General features: G+C 35.0%; 1 long non-coding RNA gene and 1 pseudogene across 3 annotated transcripts in view; one reads left to right on the top strand and one right to left on the bottom strand.

Moving 5' to 3' along the window:
- AADACL2-AS1 (AADACL2 antisense RNA 1) overlaps positions 1-25,591 on the top strand; it is a 176,997-nt gene that overhangs the window by 141,227 nt on the left and 10,179 nt on the right. For both annotated transcript variants that reach the window (NR_110203.1, NR_110202.1), the window contains exon 2: positions 12,284-12,343. This is a non-coding gene — a long non-coding RNA (AADACL2 antisense RNA 1). The remainder of the gene's footprint in view (positions 1-12,283; positions 12,344-25,591) is intronic.
- Positions 2,055-16,493, bottom strand: AADACP1 (arylacetamide deacetylase pseudogene 1; annotated as a pseudogene). The gene is made up of 3 exons (NR_026915.1): positions 16,338-16,493; positions 11,185-11,254; positions 2,055-3,117 (listed from the first exon to the last, which is right to left on the bottom strand). The product of NR_026915.1 is annotated as an arylacetamide deacetylase pseudogene 1 (transcript).

Here is a 25,591-nt window from a genome sequence, read left to right as displayed (position 1 = left end):
GTCTAAGGCATGATTATAAGGACAAATGATTTGTGCAGAATAAAGGAATAGAGGACAGATGATTGGAAAAGAACAAGTCATAAAAATCAGAGTCCATGTTGCTGGCTGTATTATCTGTACAGATTTTGAAATCCTCAATTGTAATATTGGAGATATTACATTGTGGATATTGGAATGACAACAATAATGGATTTGGGTATTAGAGTGACAATGAGCTTAAATCTAAAATGCTTGAGACAGGAGTACCAGTGACTCAGAGGTAAGCAGATGACTACAAAATGGAAGGGAGATTGGTGATCTAGCCTGCTACAATAATTCAGAAGGCTGTAGGAGAGGTAACAGTCTGGGAGCAGCAATGAGCAAGGAAGACATCTACTGCACATTAAAATCCTGTAATATGAATAATGTGGAAGAAAAAAATAGAAGAAGCATGATCCTAAATTAAGTACTGAATCTCAGTTGAAAACTGATGGAAAACACTGACAAAAGCTTGAGGGTGTCACTCATAAATGAATCATGAGTCCCAGACAGCTCAGTGAAATTTATAGGAATTGGGGAGGGACTATGGAAAAGACAGAATAAGGTACAGGGAATGACTTTACAGGTATTAGGGTTTGGGAGATGAGGGTGACTTGGGAGTGATGATAGATGTAGAGAGGGATAAAAGCAATTAGTAAGAGCCAGGCCTGGTGACTTAGAATACAAAAAGCCAGTTGGTAAGGTAGGGGACACTCAATTATTTATCCTATTTTACTTTGAGGAAACCAAAGATAGGCACCAAGATGGATATTTGTACCAGAAAATGAATCTGCAGGTAAATAATTAAAGAATGTTATGTTGCTGTTGCTATCATTCCCTCACTCTACTGCGTCTTCGTTTTGGCAGGAGTCTTGGGAAAACATGGTATAACTAATACCAATTCATTTCATCATTATTGTTTATGTTGCTTTAATAAGGTTTTTTGTATCATAACTTATGTCTATATTTAAATGTATCTTCCTAACCCAAATTAAGACTATGTTCCCACCAGGGAACATAGATTATTTTGATTTATGGGCACCTGGTTTGAGGGAGGTAAAGGAATAGGGCATAGAGATCCAAATTAAAAAAAAAAAAACAGACAAATGCCTTCTTCAACTAATTGAGTACACAAATATTACTGTGATGCTCCATTGGGAGCTGTAGGTGTAATTCATTTATACATCCATTCCATGCATTATATGACCCCAGATATTTCTATATATTATTCACACATAATTTTAATCACTTACCCTAAAGAATTTGTGGCCTACTTCTTACTGCCTATCTACTACTTACATGATTTTACTGAATATTAGTTTTACTCAGAATGATGTGCTCAGATTAAAAAAAATGACTCCTCAGGCAACCTTAACAGCTAAGGCTGATCACATGAGATATAATTCTGTAGAATGACATATAAAAATGTATATGTATATGTATATGTATATGTATATGTATATGTATATGTATATGTATATGTATATGTATATGTATATGTATATGTATTGAGTGGGGCTTCCAGGAATGCTATTGTTTTTCCTGATATAATAGACAAAAATGGAAGTGTGTGATTTGCCCCACTGTCCCCACCAGTGCTTCCTGCCTGTCAACAGCTGAGCAGGAAAATAAAGAAAGCTTGGTTTCCAGTGGCTGTGAGGAAATTCTATGCTGGCCCTCAGCTGCCTTCCTCAATGCAGCTCCAAAACGATCAAACCTTACATACCATATGATCACTATGGCTTATTCTTTGTGGTCTTTCCCCCATACGGTGCCTATATGGACATAAGAAGTTTCAGAGATTTAAGTGTTTCAATTTGGTTGTATAATTTCTTCCGTGTCTTAAGCTTCGCTCACGACTATAAGCCACTGCCACATGTGGAGCTACTGCCTTATGCTGGCTTCGTGCCTACCTCAACCTCCCTAATTTCTCACACAATTAGAGCTGCCTTTCCCTAAAGTAACTGAAAGATCATTTGCATTAATGTTGGTATCCTAGTACTGGAAGAGATCTGTATTAAGAAGCAAATTTTACAGTGACAGGCAAACAGCATTATATTGAGGCAAATGCTTTTTAAAAGAGATGGCACATATTTCATATCAGTTCTCACAGGGAAACATTTTAAGTCTCTAAATTCATGTTGACTAAAACTGGCATTTTACAAATCAGACGTGTTTGTTTAAAACTTTCTTCTCATCTGTAATACTATTCGGCAATCAAAAAACTATAGCTGTAAACTAGAGATTTAACAAGTGAGTAATGGTAGCAGAAGAAAATACTAAAGTATCTTCACAGAAGTGAGTGAATAACAGGATAATAAATAAAATGGAGAAGAATTTGCTAGCGGCCAATAAATAAAAACAAAACCAAAACCCACTATGGCTATGAGGACCTTAGAAAGGTCACAGATGATAAAGACCAATTCAAACATCAACCCTTTGATTTTCACTAATTTGTTTCCTGTTCTGAGCCTTATACATTTTAAATAAACCATTGCTTACATTTTTACTATAGATTTTCACTTAGCCAACTCATATACTGATTTTCTATTCCATACTCAATTTTAAGCCCATTATAGGAAAGTGCTCCATGGAATCCATCTTCACTGTGGTTATGTGTCACTTGAACTCCAGAGTTCTAAAGTCGCGTGATGTACATGAGTCCATCATCTCTTAAGATGTCATATTGACAGGTGATGATATAGGACAGGGGTAAACCATGTAACTTGTCATTGGCCAACAAAGGGGCTGCCCTCACATCTAGGAACCCTGGATATTTTTTAGCTAGCTCAGAACTACCACGAGTTGGAATATAACAAAAGTGGCCTTTCTTAAACTTCTCAGTGAGCAAGGAACTCCAATTAACAAATCTGAACAGATGGTTTGATTCCATTGGTACATGTTGAAGAACATGACTTTTTCAAGTGATCTGTCTGTGGTAAAGTATTCCCTACAGAACCTGACCATGAATGGTTTGGACAGAACTAGAGAGTCTAGTTTTTTCTGATGTGATAGTAAATCCATGTCAAGCGTCTGAAGGGCAGGATATATTAAAGACTGAAGCTTGAGTTTGATCTTGACATCTGGGTCTTCTATGAGCTGAAAAACAATTAAAAATAAGTTTCTTGAATAATTTTCATTTGAAAACATTTTTATTTAAAAACAATATATTGATGTGCCATTAATTAAGATTCTCAACAAGATAATCAGAAACAACAAAAATGTATCTCAGGAACTTTCCCATTTTCAATATTATAGGAATCTATAATTTAATACTATTAATATAAGCAAAATGATTTGTGCTATTTTTTTCATTGGTGGGGAAAGAGACCATCTAATCTGTGATTAAAAAGCAAAATCTCAGTCTGGACACGGTGGCTCATGCCTGTAATCCCAGCACTTTGGGAGGCCAAGGTGGGTGGATCACCTGAGGTCAGGAGCTCGATACCAGCCTTGGCCAACATGGTAAAACCCCGTCTCTACTAAAAATAGAAAAATTAGCCAGCATGGTGGCACACGCCTGTAATCCCAGCTACTGGGGAGGCTGAGGCAGGAGAATCGCTTGGACCTGGGAGGCAGAGGTTGCAGTGAGCCGAGATTGTGCCACTGCACTCCAGCCTGGCCAACTGCACTCCAGCCTGGGTGACAAAGCAAGACTCCGTCTCAAAAACAAAAAACAAAAAACAAAAAACAAAAAAAAAAAAAAAGAAAAAGAAAAGGATCAAATAACTAAGAATTCTAATTTGGCTTTAACACTGAACGAATTAGTTCTGAGTAAGTCCTATAGTCCCTCTGTGAAACAGGTGGGTCAGATTGATTTGTTTTCTAAATGGGAGTATTCCAAGTGTGTTCTTTCTCTTCATGCTGCAATCATCTGTATAATTATCTTTTTTAATTTCTATAGGGCAGTGGTATCCTAATTAGAAAATAACTCTCTCAGGTGTTTTGTGGGAGATTGGGAGCCATAAATACAAAAATATTTATTAAAGTTGAGCAAGAACATATTAGGATTCTCATTCCTGCTATAAAAATCTAATTCATTTTAATTTTCATGTTTTAAATATTCAAATTATAGTGGTGTTAAGAGAAATATTATCTATAAATCAACATGCATATTTTCAGGGTGTGCTAAATGTTTCTTGTTAATGGGGTACTAAATTAGGGGAGTAGAGACCAGCAATTTGAGTTTTAAGAAGGACTTCAGGTGATTCTGATGCAAGTTAAAATTTGGGATCCACTGGTATAGGTCATAAATAGTGATTATTGAAGCTACATGCATTTGGGTGCTTCTCAGACCGAAGTTTAATGGGTAAATTGGAAGTCTATTTCTGAAAACTCGCAACAGCATTTTCTATATAGTGTTGAAGAAAGTACAGCATGCTGACATTCTTCCTTTAACATAAATATAACACTTTCTAAAAATAAAAAATAAAATAAAATATGCACATACAGCAGTAAAACCAAATAGCAGCAAATTTTATTTTATTACATTTAAAACAAAGTTAATAACGGGAACCACTTAGCAAAATAAAATATTTATAAGTCCATTAGAATATTTTTTATGTAAAAATAATTTCTGAATTTAAATAATCAGTTTAGTGTTATAGCTGAAGTAAGATTGCCACACACATTCCATTTAGCTCAATATCTAGTATGAAAGATGCTGTTTACATTAGTAGAGGTGTGGTAAATAATTAAGTAGGTAGCTAATAGGTGGCTGATTTTAGATAAGGAAAAACACAAAAATATTTTATGTTTTACCAATAAATTCAATTTTACAGGTAACTAAATCTTTGAATGTGCAGTTATTTTATTAATCCTTTATTATTAAATAAAATAAACATAGAAAATCAAGCACATAGGCTGGGCACGGTGGCTCACGCCTGTAATCCCAGTACTTTGGCAGGCCAAGGCAGGCGGATCACGAGGTCAAGAGATCGAGACCATCCTGGCCAACATGGTGAAACCCCGTCTCCACTAAAAATACAAAAGTTAGCTGGGCATAGTGGCGCACGCCTGTAGTCCCAGCTACTTGTGAGGCTGAGGCAGGAGAATTGCTTGAACCCGGGAGGCGGAGGTTGCAGTGAGCCGAGATGGCACCACAGCACTCCAGCTTGGCGACAGAGCGAGACTCCGTCAAAAAAAAAAAAAAGAAAAGAAAAGAAAGCACATAGCTTCATAAAACAGAAATGCAAAATAGAACAAATATTTGTAAGGTTCAGGGAGTTCACCATATGCCCTGAATTGATCATTTACCTTTCTTCCCTCCCAGAAATCATCACTCTTTATTTTATGGTATTTAACATTGCAAGTTTCTTTAGAATTATACCACCTGTGCGCATTTTTAATCCACGTAGGTTATCTGGTTAAGGAAATTCTATCTATTCCTAGTTAACCAATAATGATAACAATTATTGTGACTTTTCCCAAATTCTTTTTCTGCATCTAGTGAGATGCTATATCATTTTGCTTCTGTAATTTACTAATATGAGGGAAATTAACTGATTTTTATAAAATACAGTTTCCTTCCATTATTAGCAACTTGATAATGGTATATTTTGTTCATGTTGCTAATATCTTAGTTTTATGCGTGTTATTGGTTCATTGTTTTATTCCTGAAATTAATTTGCTCTTGTTTCCTGACAACAATCTGCTCTTGCTTGATTGGTTATAAAAAATATGCTTCTCTGAAAATAAATCAGAGAATATACACAGTTTTCCTATCCTCTGGCATACTTCATGTTTATTTGGAATTATTTCATCTTTGAATGTTTAACGTGTATTACCAATGAGGTTTTCTACTGGTACTGTATTTTGAGTATCTCTTATTCAAAATGCGTGGGACAAAAATGTTTCAGATTTCTGTTTTTTTTTTTTAATTTTATTTTGGAATATTTGTATCATACCTACTAGTTCAGCATCCCCAATCCAAAAAATTAATATCCAAAATGCTCTAGTTAGCATTTTCTTTGAGTGTCATATTGGTGCTCATAACATTTTACATTCTGGAGCATTTTGAATTTTGAATTTTCAAATTAGGGATATTCAACCTGTACTGATTTAATTATTTTAGTAGTTATTAAATGACTCAGATTTTTATTTCTCGTGTCTATCTGGTGAGTTATATTTTTCTTGGAATTTGATTATTTACATATTTTTCCATTTTGTTTTAATTGAAAAGTTTTTCAAAATATCTCTTTTAAGACTTACAGTGTGCATTATTAACTTATTAAAGGCTAATTCTTTTTTATTTCTGAAGGATCTACATACAATCTTACCCCTTTTTCAATTCTGTCATTAATCTGTTTCTCTCTGCTTGTCTTTCTAGAGATTTTACAATTTTATTCATCTTTTCAAAGTATTAAGTTTTTACTTTTCATTCATACTACTGAAGCTTGTTAGGAATATCATAATTTCTGATATTATCACTATTATTATCTCCTTTGTATTTTTAGGGACGTCTGTTCTTTTTTAAAAAGAATTATTGAGTCAGATACATAATTTTAGCCTTTCTTATTTTCTAATATATGCTTTTAAGGATATACAAATTCCTATAAATATTGCTCTAAATGTGGAGAACATTTAAAAGGTGTTTAAAAGATAATAAAAGCATCATAGCCCAGTACATCATCCATTTAAAAAAAAAAATCCTTGTGTGCTTGCTTGTTCCTCTGTTCTTTATACATCCATTACACGAAATGTGTTGTTATTCCAGCAGTCTTTCAGCTTACTATTATTGTTGTCTGCTTCTTATTTTAATTTTTGAAGGAGGTATCCTTAAATTTCTCGCTATCATTGTGGACTTGTGTATTTTTCCCTGCACTTCTGTTAATATTTTCTTCATTTATTTTAAGGCCATATTATTAAATCCACGCAGATTTAGGGTGTTGTATTTTCTTGGTAATTTAAACTTTTTCTGTAATGATGTAACCTTCTTTTTTAACCTAGCAATATCTTTAAATGTGTTTTTATGGTATGTATTTTCCACCCATTTACTTTCTAATTTTCTGCTTATGTCTTTAATGTGCCATTTATAAACTACATATGATCAGAAACTGTTTATTCAGCTACTCTGACAAACTTGGTTTTACAACCAGATCATTTAGGTCAGTTATATTTAATCTAATTATTAAAGTGTTTGGTTTCAACCTACTACCTCATTTTATTATCCTTTTTTTTCTATTTTTGCCTACTTTCGTATTAACCTTTCAATTATTGTATTTTTTCCTCTAACAGTTTAGAAATTATACAGTTTCTATACTTTAAATTGTTGTCCTCAGTGTTACAATGTGTTATTTATTAACTTCTCAAAGGGTAATGAACATATCAAATGCCAATTCTAACTTTCTATCTCCTTTAGGGTAATAAAAAGAGTTTATAACACTTAAAGTCCTTCCCACTTCTCTTATAGCTCCTTTTTTTCTTATATTTTAATGTTATATATGTTATTTTAAACTATCCAAGCTTATTAAGGTTTCTCTACATCTTATCACATTCTTGCCTTTTGCTTCTTCCTACATCTTAACCTTTTATCTGTGTTTTCATTTTGTCTAAAATGCTTTACTTAAAGTATCTTTCAATTTGTCCTATTAAGGACAGCAAACTGTCTTCATTCTCATTTATCTAAATATGTCTCTGTTTCTCCTTTATTCTTAAATAATATCTTTCTGAGGCATAAAATTAGGTTGGCCGTCATTTTTGTTCTGTACATTAATATTATCGTTCCACTGTCCTAGAGCTTACATTGTTGCTGTTGAGAAGTAAGCTTTTAGTATAACTGGTACTTCTGTAAAGGTACTATATGTATATATAAATTTTTGGTTTTTTTGAGATGGAGTTTTGCTCTTGTCACCCAGGTTGGAGTGCAGTGGCATGATCTTGGCTCACTGCAACCTCTGCCTCCCGAGTTTAAGAGAGTCTTCTGCCTCAGCCTCCCAAGTAGCTGAGATTACAGGCGCCCACCACCACGCCCAGCTATTTTTTTGTATTTTTCGTAGAGACATGGTTTCACCATGTTGGTCAGGCAGGTCTTGAACTCCTGACCTCAGGTGATCCACCCACCTTGGCCTCCCAAAGTGCTGGGATTACAGGCGTGAGCCACCGCACCCAGCCTACTGTTATATTTTTCAGTATCTCTTTCTCCCATTCTCTTACCTCTCTTTTTGGTATAACATTTAAAGCACTATTGGATTTTCAGACTGTATCTACTATATCTTTAATCTTCTTTTTTGTGTTATTTATCTTTTTGGCTCTTCAAGCTTCATTTTGCCTGTTACCTGAGTTGATATGACCCATCTTTCCCATCTATCAATTTACAAATGATCTCTTCAGCTGTGTAAAATTACTTATGCCATTTTTAAGGTTTTAATTTTTATAAGGTTATTACTTTGTTTTAGAATTTTTTTAAAAAAACCTCAAATTTTCTGCTGAAATTCGTAACCCTCATTTTGAATTCATTGAACAAAGTAGGACAGTTTTTTCATGTTGTATGGCTGATAGCTCTAATATCTAAATTTTGTAGAGCATTTCTATTGTCTGCTGATTCAACTTGCTTTCCTTCATTGTTTCTTGCTTACTTGTTTGCCCAAGTATATTTTATAGTGTTTGGGGCATTCAATTTCACAAGGTATTTGCAAGAATAATTTAAAGACTATGATGGTACTGTATTTCTCCAGCAATGCCTTTTATGTATTTCAGTCAATCACACAGTAGTAGTTACCACTCATACTACCTTAATTTAATTTAAATTCAAAGCTTGAGGTTCCTCTAGCCATCTGGATGATGTGCAGCAAGGCTTTAAATGGAAGTGCGTTTTGTTTTACATCAGGTTCACTTTGACTCTGAGAGTGTATTTCTACAGAGCATCACTTAAAGGGAGGAGTGATTTATGGGTGTACTCATATCTGCAAGGATTTGAATGTATAACCGTGAGAAACTCCCAAAGCTCACCTTGGTTTAATTGTTTCCTTTTGACTACCATATGCCTTTAGGGCAGAGAGGATGTTGAGTGCTAGAATTATTTTTTGTGAAGTTTTCTCTTTTTTAGTCTTTTAAAATTTTTGGCCTAGAAGTTTTCTATATCTTATTAGCCCTTTACAAGATATTTTAGCTAGATTTTTAATAATTATGGGTCAGAATTAACTGGTTCATCATTTCAGAAGTCTAAACTCTGTAAGAGGAAAGACTTATTATGTAATATAATAAAAAGAAATTGATGTTTGAAGAGATTAGGTGGCTTGTCTAAGGTCACAGCTGGACATTGCTTCAGCTCCAATAATCTGTGTCTCCTGACGGATTAATTGTACTGCACTAGGGGGCCTCTCGGAGCAACAATGTGTAGGCAATATAGGGTTCAATTTTGGGGAAGTTGCATGTATCTCTTCTATAGTATATTAGAATGAATCACAAAATTTGTATTTTTCCTTTGGCTAGAAATCAGAAAAAGGTTATCGTGAATGTACCAATAACCAAAATTTATACATTTCCAAAGTATATAAAATAAATAATAAAAGCAGCAAAAACAATATTTTTTGCACAGTAAATTTAGATGTGACATTTATTATCAAAGTCAGTTATTCAAGTGCAGAATCAGTTATTAAACTATAGACATTAATTTGCAAAGTTTATGTAATTATTTTTCCCTATAGAAACATTGCTTCTAAGACATCACTGCCTGGTTTATTATGTCAAAAAAAAAAACAGTAACAAAAACAATTTTATCCATAATATAGTAGGCTAGTTATAATTATGGAATACTTTAAATTGACAACTCATAGGTGTGCAATTTTAGCTAAATATCATATAAATAGTGTGAATAATATATGAAAAGTATAATTCCTTCTGCAAGTATATGGTATCTATGAATCTGCTAACATTTTTTTCTAAAAATTTTATCTGAAATAAATATATTTAAGCATAGGATATTTAAGAAATAAAACAAATCCGAGCATCATACCAGTTGGGTCACTGCTGCAGCTAAATTTCCACCAGCAGTGTCTCCAGAAATGCCAATTCTTTTAGGCTCTCTACGATATTTTTCAAGAATATCTTGGCATAACAACCATCTTAGTGCATTATATACATCTTCAAATTGATCTGGAAAATGATATTTAGGTGCTATTCTGTAGCTGTGGGCAGAATAACAATTTTTAAGTCAACTATTTTTAATTAAAAAGTATATGATTTTCTGCTCACTCTAACCCTAAAATCAAAAGTAATTTTTGCTTTAGCAAACCTGATACTTTGGGTCATCAGAAATCCAAAAACAGGTTTCATCCTTATGATGATGCCCTATATGAAAACTTTTACAAAGGTCATTTACACAAGTAAATTCATTAATACAAAACTTGGATTAGGTTTAAGGAAAAAACAAACACAAGCAGGTGTTACGTTTCCCTAGATAAATTTCTTCCAGAATGTTTTTTTTCTGTGATCATTACACTTTGGTGGTAACCAATAAATGGTAAGCAAATTTTCAGAACTGTTAGATTCTACTTTAATCTAATGTTCAGATGGCATATGGTCACTACTGTGTTTTTTCATATGGGTTCTTCATTTTTCTACTCATTTTTATTGGGTGCATTTTCCAGTAATTATTGATCTAGCATGCTTTTTGAGAATAGATTTTGCTTGTGTTCCCATGTGCAATTTGGTGGCTAATTGCTTTTAGTGAAGGATTTTACTCTGACATACCTTGTAGTACCTTTGCTTTATCATCTAATCCTCAAAACAACCCTATTATGTAGAAAATATTATATGATTCCCAGTTTAAAGATGAGGAAACTAAGCTAAAGAGATCACATTCAACTTGTACAAAGTCGCAGAATCAATTTTAGAACCCAGATTTGAACCTGATTCTCTGATTTCAAAGCCCTCATTCTTATTAACTCTGCTAGTGAAAACTAGGCTGGAAATCCAGCAGAAGTAATTTGTCCATAAGATCCAATAGTTTAATTGTATTCTAATTATTTCTAAACTTCCTGTTTCTGATTCCTGTTTGATCTGATTTGTTATTTCCCGTGTCTGTTCCTGTAACGCTCAACCTCATTTTCTCTGTGCTCACTTTCTCAATTTCTTGGCATAACCAAAGAAAGACCAAAAAAGCTGAGAGCATTTTCCTATATAAAGCATCTGGCCAAAACCCAAACAAACCATGAGTGCTCTTACTTGGTTGATACAACAACAGCATTAAGTCTATCAGCTGTTCATCTTGACAGAAAGTCATAATTAAACAAAGCTGAAATTAAAAAAAAAAAGGCAGCCAAATGAATTGATGAGTGTTTTTTTTCAAGAGAAAACCTACTAGTACACCTTGTTCCTCACTGATATACTCTAGAGAAAATATTTCTAATATTTTATCTTAATTATAGAACATGAATTCTTCCCAGTGTTCCTTTTACATGTGCATTGTCAGCTTTTTCATCCATTCGTACATTTTTACACTGGATCATTTAAGCCAATTTTCTCTCCTCAAGATTAATCTCTGTCTCCTTCATTTAACAGGTCTTAGGTCTTGAAAGTACAAACACATATATATTAACTCCAACTTTAAGGAAGTCACAGTCTACTGGAGACAGGGGTAGGGAGGACAGGCATACAAACCAAAAGCAATAATGCAAAATAATAGTTTCTTTAATGGAGTACAGAAAATGCTCTTTGGAAATCAAATTAGACTTCACAGAAACTCCCAGAGAAAGATAGAGAAGAGTAAACAGGAAGTAGAGAGAGCTAAGACTTGAATTAGGTATTCATATTTTCTTGGCAGACAAGAAAGAATGTGTTTTCTTCTGTTTTGTTGTTTGTTTTGTTTTGGTATGTGTATGGATTGGGGATGGGTCACACTTGTTTGCTATGGGGCTTGGGCAAATGCTTCCTTTTGCAGATAAGAAAATTGTTAAAAGATAAATAGAATTTGGTAGTAACAAGTGTCAGGAGAAATCATACAGTAGTGAAGGAGAAGTAACAGGATATGAGGTTCTTACAAAACCTATCTCTTGGGGGCCATGGAAAGAGGAGTAGATATTATTATCTTGTGATGTTTCCAAAACTAGGTGCCGAGTATTATTGACATGTCAAATACACACTAAGTCTTAAGTTCTTATTTAACCTTTACTATAAAAAGTCATGCTCATATTTTTGATTGGAATACATATTTTTATGTTTTCTTTAATATTGAAATAGAAAGTATCAGACAAATGTTATTTTTTTCTAGGTTTATTCTTATTTAATTCCTTTACTTTAGTAAACATATTTTCATTCTTCACAGATACTTTGATGTAAAAGTTTTCAAAGAAATGCTTTGGGCAGAAGAGACTCATGGAAACTGGTATGTCATACTCAGGTTTTGTGTTAGAAACATCACTGCATTGTTAAATGATGACTTTACTATCTGAATTTAGAGAAAATGATAGAATCACTCCATTTACTGCTCCAATTTACATTCCCAATCTACATCAATACCCATCAGCACCTATTTTTCTTCTGTCACAAATGAAGATATGTCCCTTCTCCTGTGTTTTGCCAATTCTTCCCATCTGCATTGAATCCAATTTGCTTCCACATTCTCTAGGTCAGATAAACCCCCATCCCTTCTTCTACCTACCACTCCCTGCGTTTCTCCAATGTACCTCAATTTACCACCATCTTAACTTCAGCTTATAATCATGTTCATAGACCTCCCATACATAATTATAAAATATGTATAATAGAAAACATATAATATAAAATATATTTATATACAAATAAAATAATTTTAGATTCTATAGCAAATAAAATTATATATAAAATATAAATATTTATATAAATACATGAGTGCATTAAACAAAATATATATGATATAATATGAAATCAAAATAAAATACCCCTATTCAACTCTATTTTTTAAATCTAGCGCCTTCTTTCTCATTTCCTTAATATTTAAGCTTATGAGAAGACTATAGTTACCATTTCTATTTCCTCATATTTAATCCACTGTTCAACTCACCTCATTGTTTTCTACTGCAACTTTCTATCAAATCTGCAATTAATAATAAATGTCTAAGTGCGTGAAACACATTCTCTTCTTACCTGAGATTTGCTACAGCTTTTGGTATTTATTATGCCCTCTTTCAGAATGAGATTTAAAATAGTTCTTTTAAATCTACATAGCTCCAAAGAAATAAATTTTGGACAGCTGAAGTGTTTTGTTATCTAACATGTTTGTCTTGATATGATGGAGTCAACATTTCAGTAAAATGTATGTTATATGATAAACTAAAACTTTTAATATGGAACACATACCAGCATCCCCCATACACCAACCACCACCATGAATATAAACTAAGCCCGTTCTTAGTATCTCTGACTTTAGTGTTGGCATGTATACACGGACAGGAATGTTACTGAAAGTTGTCTCTATCATGGTGACATTTTCATCAGATGTAGGTGGGACTTCTTGAAAGCTCACAAAGAACGTTGCAGTATTCATGAAATGATTGATTCCCAAGAGTTCAACTAACAAAGCCTAAAAGGAGATATAGGAAAAAAAAGTACTAGTTTACAAATATCAAATGCCAGCGTTGCTTATGAACACAGAACTATGCATAGGTATTCCCAATGGTCCTGTCTGGTAGTCTCACAGGTGAATCTGAATGGCACAACTGGAAATACTGGAGGTTTAGTGGTGTTGCCACATAGTTGCCTTAGGTTAAAAAAAAAAGTAAAGAATTACTGAGGAATTACAACTTGATGGATTCCATGCTAGACAGTTTGAATTACAAAGATAAGTAAGACAAGTTCTCTTTTCTAAAGAAGCTCAGATTCAAGAAGGAAAAATAGATGTATTAGCAATTACAAAACAACATCACTGCATATCTCATAGATATGTACAAAGAACTTTGGCAGTGGTCAGTGGGCCAACTAGCTGCCTGGATGAGAAGTGAAAAGGAGTGGGTGAGCTCTGATATGAGTACTGAAAGGGGAGTAGAGTTTGGCCAAAGGGGAAAATCTCATGCTAGGCCAAAGCAATCGCCACAAGGACACTTCTATTGTAATCAGAGAAATGCATGTAGTTTGGTAAAGCAATAAAGATGTCTGTACAAGGATCCATGAAAGAAAAGGGACCTCCGGAGGTGAATATGAGCCAAATCCTAATGGACCTATAATGTTGGGATTCCAAGGATGAGAAAAACTTGCTTTCCTATCTTAAGTTGGAAACATGTGGATTAAAGGGCTGGGTGATCAAACAACTAGCTGAACCTCTTTCCTATTAATGCAAATTAAATAAGTACAAAAGAAATAACAAAATTGTCTATTTTCAATACTAAATTGTCCCCACCCTATTCCTGAAGAGGAAGTCAGGAAATAGCAGTTCCCAGAACTCCTTGGTAGAACTCAGAAAAGGAATAAGGCAAAAAAGACAAATAACTTCAGAAATAAAACCAAGGTAAAGAAACTCAAGGTATTATATAAGATAGAAACGAAAAAGCAAACACAAGGAAGTGAAATGTAAAAAGAGACTAAGCACTTTCAAGAGAAATGACATTATTTTAGCGTATAAATATATATATATACACATAATAAATACAAATAATAAAGCAAAACAATGACCCAAAATAAATATTTTTATAAATAATTCCAGAATAACTTTTTAAAAATAAGACTTGAAGCTATATTCCAGTGAAACTGACCCAAGTCCAGTAACAACATACACTGGACCATTTAGCAAGTTTGAACTGAGTGAGTCTACTTACACACAGATTTTTAAAAATTAAACTTGAGGATGAAAAATATAATATATGTGGTATGCAAAACCCGTATATACAGAGGACCAACTCTATATGCTAATAAAATGACTAGAAAATTAAGTAACTAATAGAAAATGAAAATGTGGGGCTGAATGTAGTGGCTGATGCCTCTAGTCCCAGCGTGTTGGAGGCAAAGGTTTGGGGGATTGCTTGAGGCCAGGAGTTTAAAACCAGCCTGGGAAACAGAACAAGACCCCATCTCTACAAAAAATGTTTAAAAAAATAACTAAGCATGGTGGCATGTGCCTATAGCCCTAACTGCTCAGGAGGCCAAGTAGTGGGAGGATCACTTGAGCCCAGGAGTTCCAGGCTGCAAGAAGCTATGATCACCACTGCACTCCATCCTGGGCAACAGAGAGATCAAGAACCCGTCTTTAAAACAAACAAACAAACAAAAAACCACAAAGAGGGCTGGGCGTGGTGGCTCATGCCTGTAATCCCAGCACTTTGGGAGGTCGAGGTGGGCGGGTCACCTGAGGTCGGGGGGTTCGAGACCAGCATGGCCAACATGGCGAAACTCCGTCTCTACTAAAAATAGAAAAATGCACTGGGTGCGGTGGCGCATGCCTGTAATCCCAGCTACTTGGGAGGCTGAGGCAGGAGAATCACTTGAACCCAGGAGACAGAGGTTGCAATGAGCTGAGATTGGACCACTGCACTCCAGCCTGGGCAATAGAGCAAGACTCTGTCTCTAAAAAAAACATAAAAATAGAAAAACAAACAAACAAAAACCTTGAGAATAAGGCATGTATCACACTTATTCAGAGCTGCATTAAATGCCAGTAGAGAATGTTGAAACACCTAAAAAATATATGCAAGGAAACAGAGTGTGAGCCAAGTGTTAAATATCCAGGCTAAGTGTCCTTGAATTATCTTTTTCTTTTGCTACAAGAAGGCAGTTTGCTACAGAGAAGTTTCCAGGAAATCATGAATGGCTTCATATCCAAGTAGTTAGCCTCACTAGAAAAAAACCACAGGTCTCCGAGGGCCAGTGTGGACACTGGGGGCAGCCAGCCAGGGAGCTGCCCTGTCGCCTCAGCGGCTCACTCTCCTTCAACTGAGAATCATGCCGTGTGTTCAATTTCCCTTGACCTTTTACCAGTTGACCTTTTGACAGAATATTTCAGTGAGAATGCATTTTCATGCCTGAATCCAAGATTGTTGTGTAGAATTTTCTATAACTAATCACAGTGCTGCTCAATTCTACCTTTTCTGAAGTTTATACTTCATAAATGCTTCATTCTGTCAGTATTCATGCCATGAAAATCACAGTAAGATTGTTTTTCTCAGCCAGCATATTTTGTTTTCTAATATTTAAAATTAAAATTACTTGAATACTTCCTTCATACTTATTCTGTTAGGGATTTGTGTTAAAGAATGAAGTTTGTTTTTTTTTTTAAGGTTTGAAAATCGTCAAGCAAACTTTAAGAGCAAAATTTCCAAGACAGCAGAAAGTTTTAAAAATAATATAGCTGGTAATTATTTTCTCCTGATTAAACTTAAATATTCACAGAGACAATGAAATTCTGAACTTACCAAATTTGTTACCATTTTCACAGGTGTAGCTATCCACACCAGTCACCAGAGTTCCTCAATATTATCTGAGAGAGGAGTATAAACATAATATGCCCCAAGGACCCCTGCAATCAGAAACAAAATAGTCTTTCTTCCCATGATGTTTCCCTTCTGCTCTTTCTACTTTGGCAACACAGCAAATACTTGTTTGAAACATGCAGTGGCTGAATTTTCATTGTTTTAAGCCCTGCCATAAAGTGTTACATAACTTCCTGAGTACAAATTCCACTGTTCAGTTTTCATTTCATGGGCAGACCCTAAATAAATATACTTAGCAGAAATACAAAGGCGAGCTCTGAGAAACAATCAGCACTTATTTTCTGCAAGTTCTGTCAAATCCAACAGCCTTATTACGTTGCTAGGCAGTTAGTAAACAAACATTTAATGCACAATTACTAAGAGCTGAATACCTTATTTTTAAAAAGGCCATGTGACAGTGCAAGAAACGCAGTGTATGTCTCAAATAACAAACCTTCGAGTAAGGAAGAACAAACAGAATTTTTTCGTTGTTGTTATGTTTTGTTTTGTTTTTTTGAGATGAGAATCTCACTCTGTCGCCCAGGCTGGAGTGCAGTGGCACGATCTCCACTCACTGCTACCTCCGCCTCAAGGGTTCAAGCAATTCTCCTGCCTCAGCCTCTCAAGTAGCTGAGATTACAGGTGCACACCACCACGCCTGGCTAATTTTTGTATTTCTAATAGAGATGGGGTTTCACCATGTTGGCCAGGCTGGTCTCGAACTCCTGACCTCAGGTGATCCATGCGCCTAGGCCTCTAAAACTCCTGGGATTACAGGTGTGAGCCACCGCACCTGGCCCAAACAGAATATTTTAAAACTTACAATCATGGTGGAAGGGGAAACCGGCACAACTTCACATGGTGGAGCAGGAGAGAGAGCAAGTGAAGGGAGAGGTGCTACACACTTTCAGACAACAAGATCTCATGAGAACTCTATCACAAGAACAGCATGGGGTAAGTCTGCCTCATGATACAATCACTTCCCACCAGGACCCTCCTTTAATATGAGATTTCAGTGGGGACACAGAGCCAAACCATATCAACATCTAAACCTAGAAACTGTATAATAAAAATACAATATTACAATCCTTTGAGACCACCATCAATATGTGCAGTCTTTCACTGACCAAAACATTGCTATGGGTGTACGACTGAATGTAGATGCAGATATATGTATGTATAAAACAGGAAACATATTGTGGAAATTGGCTCTTGTGATTGGAGAGGTGTAGTAGTTCCACTATCTGTCATCTTCAAGCTGGAGAACCAGGAAAGCCGATAATGTAATTCAGCCTGAGTCTGAGGCCTGAGAACCAATGCTGTAACTCCCAACCTAAGTCTGAAGTTGTTATTAACCTCTGCATTTCTATCTTTTTAAATTTGAGGATAATTGCTTTATGGCCAAGAATTAAAAAAAAAAAAGTTTAATGTGTACTTTACTTTAAAAGAATGTGTATTATGACATTATTTGGTATGGGTTCAATTTGTGTAAATTAAGTCAGTAGTATTAACTGTGTTATTGAAACTTTTTTTTTTTTACTTAATTTTTGTGTTTTTCTATCGGTTACTGAAAAAATGAGTTAAAATCTTCTACACAGGTTCTCAGCTTTTGAAAATCCCCAAATCTCCTTAGAAGAACTCACAGAGAAATAAAACAAAACCAAAAACCTATGGACAACATAATATGAAGAAAAATATGAGGCAAAAATATAACAACAAACCAACTTCCAAGTATCTATGTTGGAAATAATTTACCAACAACTACAAGGCCTGTGTGGTATAATCTTCCCTATGTGCAGGTGGAAGCAGAGGAAAGCGATGAAGTATTTGACAGAATAAGAATTAACCAACAAATATTCACCTGAAATTGTGGTTACAAATCTGAGAAAACAGTTGAAACTGGCTGGGGTTTGCATAGTCTTATGCTGTGTAAGCTATCTGCAGTGTGACCTGAAGGGGTTGGAACAGGCTGGGCCCTACTGTCCCTCAACACTAATCAACCAAAGGTTCTTCCAGGGAAGAACCCCACACTGAGAAGAAACTAAGAATCTAAATTAAGCAGGAAATGGGGAAAGAAGTGGATTAAATTGTGGGAATAAAATGGAATATTTCATAAGAACAACAGAAGAGGAAGTTATTAATAGAAAATATACAAAATCATGGTTCCTTTCTAAGGAACTAACTTCTAAGCTAATGAATTTCCTGTGAAAATGAGCCTCAGAAATAACTGAGGTTAAATATCATTCAGAGTTATTATAATAGCAAAATAATAAGCAAAATAACCTCTTTATAGACAATTAAAGCCCACAAAGCAGAGGAAAACTATATCCTAATGTTTTAAAATTAGCCAAAGTCATTAACACAATAACCTGCCATGTGAAAGAACATCATAAACCAGAATTATGAAAACTCAGAAATTAGTCAATAACACAATAAATAACCCCCTGAACAAATGAAAGAACAAACAAACAACACCATTTCAAAAATAAAGACTAGACCAAAATGGGCACAAAGGAGAATAAAAATTATATAAAGCTACAAGGAATACAGAAAATGTCATAGGGGAAATACAGCGTGAAAATGAGATAGAAGTTTCAAATAAAAGGAAGTTAACGGCTACATGCTCTATGATTCATTTTTATGAAATCCGGAAAAAGGTAAATTTACAGAAAAAATGGATCAGTAGTTTCTGTGGGGCTGAGGGCAAAAAAAGGGTTTGACTACAAGGGAGAAATAGGAGAAAACGTTTTCAAGCTATGAAGCTTTTCTGTGCCTCAGTTATGGTGAAATTTACATGATGGTATACATTCTTCAAGACACACAGGATTGTATACCAAATATGGTGAACTTTATAGTATATAAACATGTAAGTGAATGCAAAAAGAAATTAGGATCAAAATTAGAATGACTTTTAAAAAAACAGCAAATGATGAAGACAGGGAAAGAACATCCAACATAGATAGAATGATATTTTACATGAAAGAAAAACCAAAGCAAGGGAATGGAACAATTATTAAAAACTATATTTCAAGATATTCCTGAAATCTTAAAAAAATTAAGATTTGAAACTGCGTATTAATGAGGTAAACAACATAACTGGGAAAAAATTTAAAGCATAGTAGCCAATACTGACATATTCTATTAATAGTAAGATTATTAGACTTAAAAAATCCCTTGCACAGGCCAGGCTCAGTGGCTCACACCTGTAATCCCAACACTTTCGGGGGCTGAAGCCAATGAATCACGAGGTCAGGAGTTGGAGACCAACCGGGCCAACATGGTGAAGCCCTGTCTCTACTAAAAATATAAAAATTAGCCAAGTGTGGTGGCACACGCCTGTAATCCCAGCTACTTAGAAGGCTGAGACAGGAGAATCATTTGAACCCGGGAGGCGGAGGTTGCAGTGAGCCGAGATCGTGCCACTGCGCTCCACCCTAGGACAGAGCGAGACTCTGTCTTTAAAAAAAAAAAAAAATCCCTTGCACATAAAAAAAAAAACCGAATAACTTATATAATAGAAGAAAGAAAAATCTGATTGTCTTCAGATATTATATAGCAATTTTTAGACCAAAAGGAAATTTTATATATAAATACATCTCGACACATTGATATAAATAAATAATTGAATAAATAAACAAATGAAAGAGAAGAGACAAGTCTTCCTTACGGAAGAATTCCTAATAATTTATGTAGCTCTTACCCTATAGGAGATAAAGTTCAATTTTCCCTGCTCCTTGAGTGTGGGCTGAACTTAATGAGTTGCTTCTAAGGAATACGGAAAGATGGAGGAAAAAGTAATTTTATAGTAGAGACTCCTGGGAAAAACTGCCTTGGCCAAATGAATAAGGTTAATATCATCAGCTATGAGTCATGGTGATAGCATTGTTTTCCCTGATGTGATATGAAAAGGTCATTGCTCCTGTGGGGTCTTCCGTTCAAACCCATGATCCAGACTGATTATGAGAAAACATAAGACAAATACAAATTGAGGGACATTTCACAAAATACCTGATGAGTACTCCTCAAAACTATGAAGTCATGAAAAATAAGCAAACACTGAGAAATTGTCATAGACCAGAGAAGTCTAAACAGATGTGACAAATAGAAACAATGGGTCATCCTAGATTAAATTCTAGAATTGAACAAGGCCATGACTGGAAAAAATATTGAAATTTTTGAAAAAGTCTGGAGTTTAGTTAACAGTAATATACTAATGTTGGTTTCTTATTTTTGGCAAATGTATTATGGTTATGCAATATGTTAACAATAGGGGAAATGGGTGAAAGTAATACAGAAATTCTCTATACCATCTGTGCAATTTTTCTGAAAATCTAAATATTATTTCAAAATAAAAAGTTTATTTTTACAAAATGGGGAGCAAATGGAGAGAACGCATGCAAAACATTTTAAACTGTTTTCAATACTCACACTGCTGGATGTATTGGTATGTAATTCTAAAAATGTCTTCTGTGTAATGTGTGATAAAGCAGGTGAAAAAACAATACAATTCTGTTGTCTCCAGTGTATATGAGAAGCAGGAATCTTAGTGTGAAGAAAAGAAGATATAGATATAAGATAAAAAGGTTGATAAACTCATTTGAATTGGAAATAGTATGAATTCAAGAGATATGAGTGATAATAGTCATCACTTCCTATTTACAATTTCAACAGGAAATTGTTTTGTGATTCATTATTTATGATAACCCTTTCCATTGTGCTTGGTCATTTCACCTTCATCATGTTAAGGAATCTATTCATGTTTCCTCAGATTTACATACATTAGGACCAGCTATTAATTTTATCATGCCTTTTCCTTAATTGGTTCATTCATATGGTTCTTCTCCATTAATTCCTTTTCTTTTTTTTTTTTTGTTTGTGCTCTGCTAAATCTATAAATTTTTTGATGTAATAAACTATATTGATATATATTCTGGTACTGAGTCACTATGGCATGCCTGCCTGCTCAAATTGTATTTTCTTTTGATACATTGCTGGATTGCTTCCTAAAAAGAATTGGAATGTTTTTATTGTTTTTCTGTCACTTGGAATAATTTCAATTACAGTAGAATTAATCAGTTTTAAATAACTCATGCTATTGTGATAAAACTCATATTACTATGAATCCATCTGTTGCTGATGCCTTCTCCAGTGATTATTACTAATTAATTTTCCAATTTTTCTCAGCTTTATAAATTAAGGGAAGGTCGTTTTTTTTTTTTGCAGCTATGGTGATTTTTTTTCCAGTAATTACTTGTTTTTTTTTTTTAACTTTTATTTTAGGTTCAAGGGTACATGTGCAGGTTTGTTACATAGCTAAACTCATGTCACAAGGGTCTGTTGTACAGATTATTTCATCAGTCAGGTACTAAGCCTAGTACTCAATTGTTATTTTTCTGCTTCTCTCTCTACTTCCACCCTCCACCCTTAAGTAGGCTCCAGTGTCTGTTATTTCCTTCTTTGTGTCCATGAGTTCTCATCATTTAGCTCTCACTTATAAGTGAGTACACACAGCATTTGGTTTTCTGTTTCTGCATTAATTAGCTGAGTATAATGGCCTCCAGCTCTATCCATGTTCCCACAAAAGACATGATCTCATTCTTTTTTATGGCTGCATAGTATTCCATGGTATATATGTACCACATTTTCTGTATCCATTCTGTCACTGGTGGACATTTAGGTTGATTCCATGACTTTGCTATTGTGAATAGTGCTGCAATGAACATTCACATGCATATGTCTTTATGGTAGAATGGTTTATATTCCTCTGGGTGTATACCCAGTTATGGGATTGCTGGGTCAAATAATAGTTCTGTTTTTAGCTCGTTAAGGAATCTCCACACTGATTTCCACAATGGTTGAACTAATGTATACTCCCAACAATGTAGAAGCATTCCCTTTTTTCTGCAACCTCACCAGCATCTGTTATTTTTTTTTTTTTGACTTCTTAATAATAGCCATTCTTACTGGCATGAGATGATATTTCATTGTGGTTTTGATTTGCATTTCTCTAATGATCAGTGATATTAAGCTTTTTTTATATGCTTTTTGGCCACATGTATGTCTTCTTTTGAAAAGTGGTATCTGTTCATATCCTTTGCCCACTTTTTAATGGGGTTATTTGTTTTCCTCTTGTAAATTTAAGTTTCTTATAGATGCTGGATATTAGACCTTTGTCAGATGCATAGTTTGCAAATATTTTCTCTCATTCTGTAGATTGTCTGTTTACTCTGTTGATAGTTTCTTTTGCTGTGCAGAAACTCTTAAGTTTAATTAGATGCCATTTGTCAATTTTTGCTTTTGTCACGTTTGCTGTTGGCATCTTCATCGTGAAATTTTTGCCTGTTCCTATGTCCAGAATGGTATTGACTAGGTTGTCTTCAAGGGTTTTTATAGTTTTGGGTTTAACATTTAAGTCTTTAATCAATCTTGACCTGATGTTTATATATGGTGTAAGAAAGGGGTTCAGTTTCAATCTTCTGGATATGGTTAGCCAGTTATTTCAGCACCATTTTATTAAATAGGGAGTCATTTCCCCATTGCTTGTTTCTGTCAGCTTTGTTGAAGATCAGTTGGTCACAAGTGTGAAACCTTATTTCTGGGCTCTCTATTCTGTTTCATTGGTCTGTGTGTCTGTTTTTGTACCAGTACCATGCCGTTTGAGCCATCTGTGACAAACCCACACTCAACACCATACTGAAAGGGCAAAAGCTGGAAGCATTCCCCTTGAAAACTGGCAGAAGAAAAGGATGCCCTCTCTCACTACCTATTCAGCAGAGTATTGGAAGTCCTGGCCAGAGCAATCAGGCAAGAGAAAGAAATAAAGGGCATACAAATAGGAAGAGAGGAAGTCAAATTATTCCTGTTTGCAGATGACATAATTCTATATCTAGAAAACCCCATAATCTTGGCCCAAAGCTCCTTCAGTTGATAAACAACTTCAGCAAAGTTATAGGATACAGAATCAATGTACAAAAATCACTAGCATTCCTATACACCAACAACAGCAAAGCTAAGAGCCAAATCAGGAATACAATCCCATTCACAATTGCCACAAAAAGAATAAAATACCTTGGAACACAGCTAACAAGGGAGGTGAAAGATCTCTACAATGGGAGTTACAAAACACTGCTCAAAGAAATCAGAGATGACACAAACAAATGGAAAAACAGCCCATGCTCAAGGATAGGAAGAATCAATATCATTAAAATGGCCCTACTGCCTAAAGCATTGTATAGATTGAATGCTATTCCTATCAAACTACCAATAACATTCTCTGCAGAAGTAGAAAAAACAATTTTAAAATTCATTTGAAACCAAAAAAGAGTCTGAATAGCCAAGGCAATCCTAGGCAAAAGGAACAAAGCTAGAGGTATCAAGTTACCTGACTTCAAACTATACTATAGGGAGTGTCATTTTTTCCCCCTATTTATATCTCACCCACGCCCTCTAGGTTTTATATATGTGCCCCCAATAGCACATGGCAGTCACACAATTATTTCCATACCTTCTGTCTTCTTTTTCATTCCCAATATTTTTTTTTAATTCTCTCTCTGAGTCTGGGGACGGGTGTGTGGTGTTATTTGTCTTATTCATCTTCAAAAATTATCAGCTTTTTATTTACTTACCTTTCATTTTATTTAAGTGGAAAAGTATAAGCCATATTTTAATTTTAGGGAAACACTCTAATAGACATTTATTTTTGTCCATTATCACATTCATTCTAACAGACATTTATATACATATATATCCAAATATATATATACACCAAACTGATGGAATATAAAATCCTATACAATTCACCCTGTCATGCACATCACTGCCTGTGACAACTGATAGGGAAAACAGTACACATGGAGGACACAGATCTTTTTGAACCACTGCAGTAGCTCAGTACTGAGACTGAAGATTGCCTTATTCGGTGCAAGCTGCACAAAAATTAGTGAAAAGAATTTGGTTGGAGATGAAGTAAAATAATCAAGCAAAGATCATAGGCCTACAATTGAAAGCAGTCTTCTCTTTGAGTTCACATCAAAGCTGAAAGTATATCACATGGCAGTGAACTTGAATTCTCCACATTCATTAACAGGCTCGAAGGTATGCGAAATTTACATTATACTTATTTTTATATATGTATTTCTTTATTATAATTATAAGCAGGCTGAAAAAGTGGGCAGCTGCACACAGCTGCAAAGGCTGCTGCCCAGCCTCTAGCTCACTGAGGACCCCATGGGAGCCAGTAGGGTGGTCCATCGCAGCCAGGGGAGTAGCATGTGGACCCCACGAAGGCCTAGGTGAGGCTGACCCCATTCCCCCAGTTGTTTGGGGAGCCATGAACAGTGGCAGAGGAGGAGGAGCTGGCATGGTAGATGGCAGTCCAGCGCCCCGCCACTGCCACACAAAACCTAGGTTACGGATGTCGTTTCTGATAACAGATTGAAATGGATTTCGTGATTTGCATATGTTTTAAATGCTTCTTTACACACATGCTGTCTCACACACAGATATATACATATATATGTATAAATTTTGCATTGGCCTTAAAGTGTCATGAGAAATTTTACCTATTGCACGGTGGGCCTAGCCATCTATTTGATGTGTGTAATCTTGGATATGCTTCTGCTGTGTTACTTCTGTAAATACAACAAATGTGATTTAAAAAAATAAATAAAAAGGAGAGAGGAACTCCTGCTGGGGTTGGAGTCAAACAAAGGTGTACCCAGATAATCTTCCTACAAATGCAGATATTTCTGTCCACAGTGAGGCTTGGAGTAGACTTCTGTGAACTGTCCATGGTGTCATTAGTGTCATTAATGTCTCACCAAGGCCCATGCTAGGAAAAATTATTCTGGTAAGTTCTATCAGTGAGAGACTGTTTGAAAAGACTCTAGAGAGCTATGTGAAAAAATTACACATAATCCAAATGGATTCACATAATCCAAATGGAACAATTTTCTGCATTAATCGGAACTAGATTTAAAAGGAGCTGCTGTGTCTCAAGGCAAGTGATTTTCTTCGTAGATGGTGAGTGTACAATAGGCTCAAACATGACAGGAGAAGAGGGTTATGTTCTACCATTGATATGATCCATGAGGGTACTTCTGAGCTCACGGCAGGCTCTGATATGACCTATGCTGTATTCAGCTAGCAGCTCAGTTTTTGCTGGTATCCTGTTCCCCAGAGAGAAATGCACAGAAGGA

The sequence above is a fragment of the Homo sapiens genome, chromosome 3 (assembly GCF_000001405.40).
Source record: "Homo sapiens chromosome 3, GRCh38.p14 Primary Assembly".
Taxonomy (NCBI): domain Eukaryota; kingdom Metazoa; phylum Chordata; class Mammalia; order Primates; family Hominidae; genus Homo; species Homo sapiens.
The sequence above is the reverse complement of the archived record's forward strand: the minus strand, read 5'-3'. Positions and strand labels throughout refer to the sequence as shown.